This window comes from Homo sapiens, chromosome 17 (genome assembly GCF_000001405.40).
Source record: "Homo sapiens chromosome 17, GRCh38.p14 Primary Assembly".
Classification (NCBI taxonomy): domain Eukaryota; kingdom Metazoa; phylum Chordata; class Mammalia; order Primates; family Hominidae; genus Homo; species Homo sapiens.
The window spans coordinates 67,271,215-67,284,096 of record NC_000017.11 but is presented as its reverse complement, the minus strand read 5'-3'; the positions used below and the strand labels follow the sequence as shown (position 1 = coordinate 67,284,096).

The 12,882-nt window shown below is 46.1% G+C and overlaps 1 non-coding gene across 1 annotated transcript; it reads right to left on the bottom strand.

Moving 5' to 3' along the window:
• Nucleotides 1-12,489: 12,489 nt before the first annotated feature.
• LOC124900398 (small nucleolar RNA SNORA8) lies at nt 12,490-12,628 on the bottom strand. Its single transcript, XR_007065991.1, has one exon. It is a non-coding gene; the product is annotated as a small nucleolar RNA SNORA8 (small nucleolar RNA).
• Between the last annotated feature and the right edge of the window lie 254 nt (nt 12,629-12,882).

Genomic DNA, 12,882 nt, shown 5'->3' with positions numbered 1-12,882 from the left:
CACCAAAACCAAGATGGGGATGAAAGTGATCTCTGGTCATCCTCATTGCTCATTACATGCTCATTATAATGTATTAGCATGCTAAAAGACACTCCCATCAGTGGCATGACAGCTTACAAATGCCATGGCAATGTCCAGAAGTTACCCTATATGGTCTAAAAAAGGAAGGAACCCTCAGTTCCAGGAATTGCCCACTCCTTTCCAGAAAACTCATGAATAATCCATCCCTGGTTTAGCATATAATCAGGAAATGACCATAAAAGTTGCCAGCTAGCAGACCTCGGGGCTGTTCTGCCTATGGAACAGCCATTCTTTATTCCTTTACTTTCCTAATAAACTTGCTTTCACTTTCCTCTATGGCTTGGCTTCAAATTCTTTCTTGTGCGAGATCCAAGAACCCTCTGTCGGGGTCAGAACTGGGACCCCTTTCCAGTAACATTACCATCAATGGGCCTGTACAACATCATCACTCAAAGCCCATAGTTTATATTAAGGTTCACTCTTGGTATCGTACGTTATGGGCTTGGACAAATGTAAAATGACGTGCATGTATCTGCATTATAATATCATACAGAGTAGTTTCACCCTCCCCAAAATCCTGAGCTTCACCTAGTCATCTGCACTTCACTTTTTTTCTGGAAACGCCTGGGCCCAACAGGCAGTTCCTTGGAATGGTGAATGGCAGAAGTGCAGGTAACACAGTCTTTATTTATTTATTCTTTTTGACGGAGTCTTGCTCTGTCGCCCAGGCTGGAGTGCAGTGGTACGATCTCGGCTCACTGCAACCTCCGCCTCCTGAGTTCAAGTGATTCTCCTGCCTCAGCCTCCCAAGTAGCTGGGATTACAGGCGCCCACCATCATGCCCAGCTAATTTTTGTATTTTTAGTAGAGACAGGGTTTCACCATATTAGCCAGGCTGGTCTCGAACTCCTGACCTCAGGTGATCTGCCCACCTCAGCCTCCCAAAGTGCTAGGATTACAGGCGTGAGCCAATGTGCCCGACCCAGGTAACACAGTCTTATGTGCTGTTTACACACTTTGATTGGGACTGGATTCTGGGGGAAAAAACATAATAAACCAAGCCAGATGGATCACAATTTTGCCCTTCATATTATCATATTATCATTTTCCCTTCAAAGGTCTTTTGGTTTGTTTGTTTGTTTGTTTGTTTGGGTTTGAGATGGAGTCTTGCTCTGTCGCCCAGGCTGGAGTGCAGTGGCGCAATCTCAGCTCACTGCAACCTCTGTCTCCTGAGTTCAGGCAATTCCTGCCTCAGCCTCCCAATTAACTGGAACTACAGGTGCAGGCCACCACACCTGGCTAATTTTTTGTATTTTTGGTAGAGATGGGGTTTCATCATGTTGGCCAGGCTGGTCTTGAACTCCTGACTTTGAGGCAGGCAGATCACTTGAAGTCAGGAGTTCCAGACCAGCTTGGCCAACATGGTGAAACCCCTATCTCTACTGAAAATACAAAATTAGCCGGGCATAGTGGCAGAGGCCTGTAGTCCCAGCTACTTGGGCGGCTGAGGCAGGAGAATCGCTTGAACCTGGGAGGCAGAGGTTGCGGTGAGCTGAGATTGTGGCACTGCACTCCAGCCTGAGTGACAGAATGAGACTCTGTCTCAAAAAAAAATTGATTTTTAAAATATAGTTTCATGATCTGCTTTTGTCAAAATGGCCTGTAGCACTATATCTAAATATCTGTCAGGATGTGCTTTGCTCAATTTTACAAAATCTCTCAAAGGGCGGTCATGAGCTTTCCTGATAGGAATTCTCAGATTTCGATTTGAACTTGATGGCCTGGAAACAGGAACATCAGGGTGGTTATGGTGCTGTACATATTCCAAAAGCAGCCCCATGAAGTCTGTACAGTAAATCTGGTTATCTGGCCTGACCTAGATAATAATATCTAGACTGGAAAAACAGATTTGCTCTTATTGTTATTGCTGTTGTTTTGTAATTAAAGTTCTATTTAATAGAGAGTTACTATTTAGGTCATACCTTGCTGACTCAATATTTAAAGAATTAGCAAATCTCACTTCCTCGGGCACTCCCAGCCTGACAGGCTGGGCATGGAGACACGAGTAATAATCCTAATTGTAATGAGGCTGGGTGAGCTGAATTTTCATCCTGCTCCCATCCCCTGAGGCGCCAAGAAACCTCCCGGCAATTTGGGCCTGCCAGCAATGGTTGTCAGTTGAGGTAGGATGCTTTGTCATGCAACTGTGAGCAAGGAACATGGGCAGGCTCACGTGCTAAGCACGGGGCAAAACAGATTCGTTTATAAGAAACAGGATGAACGCTGTGTTAATAGAAGGAATATGAATCTCCTATGCAGTCCAGACAGGAGAGGGTTTTGGGAGAAAATTAATCAAGGCAACATATGTTTGATTTTTTTTTTTGAGATGGAGTTTCACTCTTGTTGCCCAGGCTAGAGTGCAATGGTGCGATCTTAGCTCACCGCAACCTCTGCCTCCCGGGTTCAAGGGATTCTCTTGCCTCAGCTTCCCGAGTAGCTGGGATTACAGGCATGTGCCACCACGCCCCGCTAATTTTGTATTTTTAGTAGAGACGGAGTTTCTCCATGTTGGTCAGGCACGTCTCAAACTCCCAACCTCAGGTAATCCACCTGCTTCGGCCTCCTAAAAAGTACTGGGATTACAGGCGTGAGCCACCTTGCCCAGCCACATATGTTTGATTTTAAATACCCTAGGACAAACCAGCTGCAACTCGAAGTTGAGCCTCTCCCTACCCTAAGACATCCCCCACATTGTTGAAACCAGAGCTTACTCTCATCTCCCTGGGGAAGCCAGGAAGGCTGGAGCTCCAGGAACCTAGTTGACTGCTTTGCAGGAGCAGCAGTGACTGGGCCATCAACATGCTTTTGACACCAGAGGCTTGTGAAATTTGCAAGACACAGACAGGGAGAAGGATGGGAATTGGAGCTTGATCATTTTTGTAGGGAAAGGTGACCAATGGGGAAGAAAGAGGAGGAAAGGAATCCAAAGTAGAAGGCGGCTTAAAGGCAAGTCAGAATGGACTTCTTATTTGCCAGAAAATCCACTGCATGACACAATACTCTAGATACTTTCTAAATAATCAAAAGAAAAAAAATCAAATTGTATTCAGAATTCTAATGGACTTTTACACCTAGCAAATGTCTGGGTTTTTGTTGGTTTGTGTTTGAGGTGTAAGGAAGGAGTGATATCTCGAATATAATCTTGGATTCTATCACTAGCATTTAAATTCAGTGGGTCAGTACAAACCCAAGAAATGCCCTAAAGAATAGGACTTTGCAGAATACATAGGAGAGCTGCCCAAATGGCTAATTTAGGTTTTCCAACAGGGCTATTCCTCTTGGAGGTAGACACTGGACACTGGATGCTCTTAATTTCTTTTCCAAAAGTGAAAAAAAAATGTTATATTGGTGGTGAAAGCCCTTCCTCACCTCTGAGAGACGAGTAATGCAAACTATGGGACTGATGAGGTCAGGGTACCGGGTATGAGGCTCTGGTTTCAGCAAGGCAGCAGCTGGAAAAACTGTCCAACCTCTTCTCCTTGGCAAATAGGGCCTTGGATTCTAGCCCAGGCCAGGAGCTTGGGAGTCAGGTCTGGGCTTGAAAGAGGACATGATCGGTCAGCAGTTATGAGGCAATGGAAAATACCGAAATTGATTCTCCAGTGAGGGTGGGTTAGGCCTGTGCTCTGGGTCATGGTGCAAAGGCGAACTGGTATTGAGTCTCGGGAAAGGGCAAACAAAGAAGGAAGGAAAGCTTTGAAACATCAAGTCCAAAGCCAGGATTTGAAAGGGTGGGTTGGCAGTCCTGAATTGGCAAGAAGAGGGGAGGCCTGACGATCCCCAGAGGAAAATTTACATAGGCAAGAACTTTTATGGAGTGGAATGGATAGGACTGTTGAGAAGTCCTCATCATCATAGGACTGAAGAAGGGAGGACCTCCTGTGGGCCTTGGAAAACCATAATGAATGCCAAACAGAAAAGATGAATCTTCTGAGATACTTTCCAGGGAAAAGGGGGAGGGCAATGTCTATTTGCTATATATATATATATATTTTTTTTTTTTTTTTTGAGACGGAGTCTTGCTCTGTCACCCAGGCTGGAGTGCAATGGCACGATCTCAGCTCACTGCAACCTCTCCCTCCCGGGTTTAAGCGATTCTCCTGCCTTAGCTTCCTGAGTAGCTGGGATTGCAGGCGCCCACCACCATGCCCGGCTAATTTTTGTATTTTTTAGTAGAGACAGGGTTTCACCATATTGGCCAGGCTGGTCTTGAACTCCTGACCTCAAATGATCCGCCCGCCTTGGCCTCCCAAAGTGTTGCGATTACAGGCATGAACCACTGCACCTAGCCTGGCAATGTCTATTTGCATTCAGAGACACCCCCGCGCCCCTGCACCCCCTCCTCCCCACTCAGCATCCTCCCACCCTCCGGACCTTCCCAGGCAGGGCTTGTGCTCTTCAGTTCCATTTAGTGTCTGCAGCTGTTCTCTGCGCAGTTGTTACCGGTGATAAAAGAAAAACTTCAGCCGAATTAAATTTAATGGCGTTTAATTAAGCAATGACAATTTGCAAATTGGGTAGCCCCCAGAATCACAGCAGATTCAGAGATTCCAGCGTAGCCACGTGGTGGAAGAAGGTTTATAGACAAAAAATGGGAAATGACGTACAGAATTTGGAAGTAAGGTAAAGAACAGCTGGATTGGTTACACCTCGTTGTTTCCCTTATTTGAACAGACTTTGAACACTCAGCAGTGTATGAATGGCTGAAGTATGGCCACAGGCATTGGCCAAGACCTAGCTATTGTTACAGGTGCATACTTCTAGGTTAGGTTTTCAATATTGTCTACCTATTAAGCTAGGTTTTGGTTCACCCACAAGGATTCAAATATAGAAATACGGAGTCCTTCTCAGGCCATATTTAGTTTGCTTTAACACCGGAAAGGGGTCCCAATCGAGACCTCAAGAGAGGGTTCTTGGATCTTGCACAAGAAAAAATTAGAGGCGAATCCATAAAGTGAAAGCAAGTTTATTAAGAAAGTAAAAGAATAAAGAACGGCTACTCCATAGGCAGAGCAGCAGCTTGGGCTGCTGGACTAAGGATACTTATAGTTATTTCTTGATTATATGGTAAACAAGGGGTGGATTATTCATGAGTTTTCTGGGAAAGGGGTGGGCAAGTCTCGGAATCAAGGGTTCTTCCCTCTTTTAGACCATGTAGGGTAGCCTCCTGACATTCCCATGGCATTTGTAAATTGTCATGCTGCCGCTGGGAGTGTCTTTTAGCATGCCAATGAATTATAATTAGCGTATCATGAGCAGCGAGGACGACCAGAGGTCGCTCTCGTCGCCATCTTGGTTATGGTGGGATTTGGCCAGCTTCTTTACCGCAACCTGTTCTATCAGCAAGGTCTTTGTGATCCGTATCTTGTGCAGACCTCCCATCTCATCCTGTGACTTAGAATGCCTAACCTCCTGGGAATGCAGCCCTGTAGGTCTCAGCCTCTTTTTACCCAGCCCCTATTCAAGATGGAGTCGCTCTGGTTTAAACGCCTCTGACACACTGAGTAACTGGGCAGGTTTTTGTGGCTGGGTGTTCCTTGCTACTTATGATCCAGGAAGTGGAGGTTGCTTATACCCGCAAGGGATCTGGGACAAAGGAGCTATCCTCTGCCTGCTCTGGATAATCCCTTTGCTGTTTTTGCTTTTTTTTTTTTTTTTTTTTTTTTTTGAGACCAGGTCTCCCTCTGTCACCCAGGCTGGAGTACATTGGCACGATCTCAGGCTCAATGCAACCTCCCAGGCATAAACCATCCTCCCACCTCAGCCTCCTAAGCAGCTGGGACTACAGGAGTGCACCACCATGCCCGGCTAGCTTTTGTATTTATTTTGTAGAGAAAGAGTTTCACCATGTTGCCCAGGCTGGTCTCGAATTCCTGGGCTCAAGCAATCCTCCCACCTCGACCTTCCAAAGTGCTGGGATTACAGGCGTGAGCCACCGTGCCTGGTTCCTGGATGATTTTTTTGCTGGCCTTTCTCTAAACCAAATACACACTGAATGCTAACTAGTGTGTAAAAGCAGCTCTTTCGGCCGGGCGCGGTGGCTCACGCCTGTAATCCCAGCACTTTGGGAGGCCGAGGCGGGCGGATCATGAGGTCAGGAGATTGAGACCATCCTGGCTAACACAGTGAAACCCGGTCTCTACTAAAAATAGAAAAAATTAGCTGGGCATGGTGGCGGGTGCCTGTAGTCCCAGCTACTCGGGAGGCTGAGGTGGGAGAATGGCGTGAACCCGAGAGGCGGAGCTTGCAGTGAGCCGAGATGGCGCCACTGCACTCCAGCCTGGGCGACAGAGCGAGACTCCGTCTCAAAAAAAAAAAAAAAAAAAAAGCAGCTCTTTCCTAAAGAGTTTAAGATCTCATGCAAAGCCACACCAAATGTGAAGGGGATGGTGATTAGGGCCATATCCTTGTCTGCTCAGTCATTTTCAACTGGATCGTGCCCATTACCCTCCTTTTAACCAAACATTTTGTAATACTCTCTCTGTTCTCCTGAAATGAAATTCATGGGAGCGGGGAGGTTGAGGGGGGAGGGAGAGCATCAGGAAGAACAGTTAATGGATGCTGGGCTTAATACCCAGACGATGGGATGATCTGTGCAGCAAACCAGCGTAGCACATGTTTACCTATGTAACAAACCTAAACATCCTGCACATGCACCCCAGAACTTAAAAGTTGAAGATAAAAAAAGAAATTAATATAGAAAATAACCCACTTATGCACATAATTCCAAAAATGAAACTCCACAATACAATGACCTAATATAAAGGAGAAATAAATGGCATTTAATTTATAATAAAATAAGGTAAATAAGATACAAAATTTCAATATGTAAATGCTTGGGCATGGCTACACTAGAAGACATAAGGAAGTAACCAGATGCCTGTGCGTAGCTATGGAGTCATCCCAACTGGCACACTACAAAGACAGACTGGGATGGGTGGACAACATCATTGACTTAAATACCAGGGGTACTGTGGCCAGTAGTGACATCCTTTCCAAAAGAGGAAATAACTTTTGGGAGGGCCCTGCACAAAACGAAGCACAGAATTTATATGATAGTCGAATCCCTAAAACTTTCACGATTATTTAAAATGGGTGGCTGGGGCTGGGAGTGGTGGCTCACGCCTGTAATACCAGCCCTTTGGGAGGCCAAGGTGGGTGGATCACCTGAGGCCAGGAGTTCGAGACCAGCCTGGCCAACATGGCAAAACCCCGTCTCTACTAAAAATACAAAAAATTAGCTGGGGCCAGGCGCGGTGGCTCACACGTGTAATCCCAGCACTTTGGGAGGCCAAGGCAGGCAGATCACGAGGTCAAGAGATCGAGACCATCCTGGCCAACATGGTGAAACCTGTCTCTACTAAAAATACAAAAATTAGCTGGGCGTGGTGGCGCACACCTGTAGTTCCAGCTACTTGGGAGGATGAGGCAGGAGAATCGCTTGAACTGGGCAGATGGAGGCTGCAGTGAACCAAGATTGAGCCATTGCACTCCAGCCTGGGCAACAAGAGAGAAACTATCTCAAAAAAAAAAAAAAAAAAAAGTGCAGCTGGGCATGGTGGCTCACGCCTGTAATCCCAACACTTTGGGAGGCTGAGGCAGGTGGATCACTTGAGATCAGGATTTCGAGATCACCCTGGGCAACATTGTAAAACTCCATCTCCCAGGCAGAGGGGCAGCGCCAGGACCAGGAGAACGGGTCCTTGCTAAACATCAAGGTCAATCAGGAGGCTGAGATCGCCACCTATCGCCACCTGCTAGACGACGACGAGGACTTCAATCTTTGTGATGCCCTGGACAGCAGCAACTCCATGCAAACCATCCATAAGACCACCACCCCCCAGATAGTGGATGGTAAAGAGGTGTGTGAGACCAACGACACCAAAGTTCTGAGACATTAAGCCAGAAGAAACAGGGTACACTTTGAGGAGCAGGAGGCCAATAAAAAGGTGAAAGGTAAAAATAAAAAAAAAGAGAAAGAGAGAAACTCCATCTCTACAAATAATACAAAAATTATCTGGGTCTGGCTGGGTGCACTGGCACACGCCTGTAATCTCAGCACTTTCGGAGACTGAGGTGGGCAGATCACCTGATGTCAGGAGTTCAAGACCAGCCTGGCCAACATGGTGAAACCCCGTCTCTACTAAAAATACAGAAATTAGCTGGGCGTGTTGGCACATCCTTGTCATCCCAGCTGTTTGGGAGGCTGAGGAAGGAGAATTGCTTGAACCTGGGAGGCAGAGGTTGCAATGAGCCGAGATTGTGCCACTGCACTCCAGCCTGGGCAACAGAGCAAGACTCCCTCTCAAAAAAAAAAAAATTAGCTGGGTGTGGTGGCACATGCCTACAGTCCCAGCTACTTAGGAGGCTGAGGTGGGAGGATCACTTGAGCTTGGAAGCTAGAGGTTGCAGTGAACCATGATTGCACCGCTGCACTCCAGCCTGGGTAACAGAGTGAAACCCTGTCTCAAATAAATACATAAATAAAATAAAATAAGGCTGGGTGCGGTGGCTCACACCTGTAATCCCAGCACTTTGGGGGGCCCAGGCAGGCAGATCACGAGGTCAGGAGTTGGAGACCAACCTGGCCAATATGGTGAAACCCCGTCTCTACTAAAAATATAAAAATTTAGCCTGGTGTGGTGGAGCACGCCTGTAGTCCCAGTTACTCTGGAGGCTGAGGCAGGAGAATCACTTGAACCTGGGAGGCGGAGGTTGCAGTGAGCCGAGGTGCACCACTGCACTCCACCCTGGGCAACAGAGCAAGACCCTGTCTCAAATAAATACATAAATAAAATAAAATAAGTCTGGGCGTGGTGGCTGATGTCTGTAATCCCAGCACTTTGAGAGGCCAAGGTGGGTGGATCACCTGAGGTCAGGAGTTCGAGACCAGCCTGACCAATATGGTGAAACTCTGTCTCTACTAAAATTACAAAAATTAGCTGGGCGTGGTGGCGTGCACCTGTAGTCCCAGCTACTCAGGAGTTGAGGCAGGAGAATCGCTCGAACCCAGGAGACAGAGGTTGTAGTAAGCTGATATCGTGCCACTGCACTCCAGCCTGGGTGACAGAGCAAGACTCCATCTCAAAAATAAATAAATAAATAAAAAATAAAGTAAAATAAAAAATGTGCTACAATACTCAATGCTTATATGCAGAGTAGAGTTAGGTTCTAGACTGATATATTTAGTCAGAGTTCTCCAGAGAAACAGAACCAATAGGATATATTTAGAGAGCCATAGAAGGTTTATTAGGGGAGCTGGCTCACTAAATATGCTATCTGCAAGCTGGAAAATCAGGAAAGCTCGTGGTGTAATTCAGTCCCAGTCCAAGGCCAAAGGTCTAAGAACCAGGAACCAGGAGCTACGATGTCCAAGGGCAGGAGAATGATGAATGTCCTAGTTGAAGAAGAGAGGATTCTCACATCCTTGACCCTTTTGTTTTATTCAGGGCCCTGTATATATTAGATAATGCCCCCACACACCGCCACGTTCGTTGAAGCTGGATCTTCTTTTCTTGGTCTACTGAGTCAAATGTTCATCTCTTCCAGAGACACCTCCCAGAGACACCCAGAAATACTGTTTTACTAGCTATCTGGGCATCCCTCAAGCCAGTCCAGCTGACACATAAAATTAACCATCACAACCGAGATCATTATAAACACCTACATGAGGCCCGGTGCCATGTCTTTTGCCTGTAATCCCTGCACTTTGGGAGGCCAAGGCAGGTGGATCCCTTGAGCCCAGGAGTTTCAGACCAGCTGGAGCAACATGGCAAAACCCCATCTCTACAAAAAATACAAGAAAAAATTAGCCAGGTGTGGTGGTGTGTACCAGTGGTCCCAACTACTTGGGAGGATTGCTGATCACACTACTGCACTCCATCTCAAAAATAAATAAATAAATAAATAAATAAATAAATAAATAAATAAATAAAAATAAAATAAAGTAAAATAAACAATGTGCTACAATACTCAGTGCTTATATGCAGAATAGAGTTAGGTTCTAGACCGATGTATTTAGTCAGAGTTCTCCAGAGAAACAGAACCAATACGATATATTTAGAGAGCCATAGAAGGTTTGTTAGGGGAGCTGGCTTACTCAATATGCTATCTGCAAGCTGGAAAATCAGGAAATTATTTATTTTTATTTACTTAAATTATTTATTTTTAAGACCCTGTCAAACAGCAACAACAACAACAAAAAACACCACCATGATTGATAAAATTTATTTATTTTATTTATTTTATTTTTTTGAGACGGAGTTTCGCTCTTGTTGCCCAGGCTGGAGTGCAATGGCGCGATTTTGGCTCACCGCAACCTCTGCCTCCCGGGTTCAAGCCTCAGCCTCTTGAGTAGCTGGGACTACAGGCATACGCCACCACACCTAGCTAATTTTGTATTTTTAGTAGAGACGGGGATTTCTCCATGTTGGTCAGACTGGCCTCGAACTCCCGATCTCAGGTGATCCACCGGCCTCAGTCTCCCAAAGTGCTGGGATTACAGGCGTGAGCCACCGAGACCGGCCCAAATTTATTTATTTTTTTTCTGAAACGGAATCTTGCTCTGTGGCCCAGGCTGGAGTGCAGTGGTGCAATCATAGCTCACTGCAGCCTCCAAGTGACACCCCCTGCCACAGCCTGCTGAGTAGCTAGGACTACAGGCCTGCACCACCATAAGCTCCGAATTTTTTGTCGTCGTTGTTGCCCAGGCTAAGAAACTTGAATCTTTTTTTTTTTTTTTTTTGAGACGGAGTCTCATTCTGTCACCCAGACTGAAGTGCAGTGGCGAGATCTCGGCTCACTGCAACCTCCACCTCCCAGGTTCAAGCGATTCTCCTGCTTCTGCCTCCCAAGTAGCTGGGATTACAGGCGTGCACCACTGTGCCCAGCTAATTTTTATATTTTTAGTAGAGACGGGGTTTCACCATGTTGGCCAGGATGATCTCGATTTCTTGACCTCATGATCTGCCCGCCTTGGCCTCCCAAGGTGCTGGGATTACAGGAGTGAGCCACCGTGACCGGACGAAACTTGAATCTTAATCCTGGCTTTTCCATTTATTAGCCGACCTGGACATGCGCCTGTGGAATAGAGCTGGTGGTTGATTGCATTGTGGTTGAGGCTTGACAGCCCCTGGCCCTGTGTCAAACTTGGAAATGTTCTAAGCTAGTTTCTAAGCCAGTTGTCTTCTCATCTTCCTGAGGATAAAATTTATATTCTGATGGTAGCCTCTGCCTCCAAGTATGAGTGTTGCCACAAGGGGCGCAAAGTAGACCTTCGATAAACGTGTGCTCCTTGGCTCTTCATTTAGAGGGGCACCTTGTGTCAGGAGCTGCACAAGCACCAACTCTGAGATCAGCCGTGCCATGAGCCCACTTCTCTGGGACCCAGAACTTAGTGCCTTTGGGAGAACATGTCTGGAACTTCTAAAAGGTCAGCCAGTGGAAAAATCACCCAGTTTGCCTCTCAATCCAACTGCAAGATTAGCTAGGCTCCCGGTTACAGTGTTCTCTTTGGTTTCTTTCTCCAGTGTCTCACTTTTACCATGGTCCTGGTTTTAGTGTCTCTGCTGTATCCTGCCTTTCTGGATCCTGATCCTGACACTTGGTACTTGGCTCCTGATTTATTTCCCTTTTGCACCCCTGGTTTTGGCTTTGGCCTATCTATAATCTTTTTTTTTTAGACGGAGTCTCACTCTTTTCGCCCAGGCTGGAGTGCAGTGGTGCAATCTCGGCTCACTGCAACCTCCGCCTCCTGGGTTCACGCCACTCTCCTGCCTCAGCCTCCCGAGTAGCTGGGACTACAGGCGAGTGCCACCATGCCCAGGTAAGTTATTTTTAGTACAGACAGGGTTTCACCATATTGGCCAGGATGGTCTCGATCTCTTGACTTTGTGATCTGCCCACCTCGGCCTCCCAAAGTGCTGGGATTACAGGTGTGAGCCACCATGCCTGGCCAAGGTTTTTTTTTTTTTTAATTGTGTATTATGTAACATTAGGCAAAATTATTCAAAGTCAATAGATTTTTATCCAAGGGATTCCATGTTGTGATTTTTTCCACTGTCCATCAGGGTCACTTTAGATCCTCTAAAGAGCTGGAGTCAAAAGATTTATCTTCAAGTTAGCCCTTTTTAACGAAACTGATGCTTATTTTAATCCAGTTGTCCCGTCAGCCCATAATTCTTTTATTTTGGCTTCTGTCATCTCCTTTTAATATGGATATACTGATGAAGACTTGAAAATTCACCAAGAATCTTTGGGATCTAATTTCTTCAACCAATTCACTTTAGGGTCATCTTTACTGTAGGTGGTGGATCTGCCTGGTTCTCAATTCAACACCCTGGAAGAAGAAAGGCATTGCTTACTGTTATAGAGTATATCAAACTAAGCACTCTGTGAAATCTATACAAATACTGTATCAATAGAAATACTAGGTTTAACAAGCACAAAGTCAAGAAAACCAATGATGCCAGATACTGAATTTCTATAGCACTGACCTTTGAACACCTTAGCAAGAGTAAACTGCTGGGTGCAGATGCCATGCAGTGCAAGATCTTTTTTTTTTTTTTTTTTGAAACAGGGTCTTGCTCTGTTGCCCAGGCTGGATTGCAGTGGCATGATAATGGCTCACTGCAGCCTTGACCTCCCAGGCTCAAGCGATCCTCCCACCTCTCAGCCTCCCAAGTAGCTGGAACCACAGCCATATGCCACCATATTCAGCTAATTTGTAGAGACAGGGTCTCCTTGTGTTGCCCAGGCTGGTCTTGAACTCCTGGCCTCAAGTGATCCTCCTGCCACGGCCTC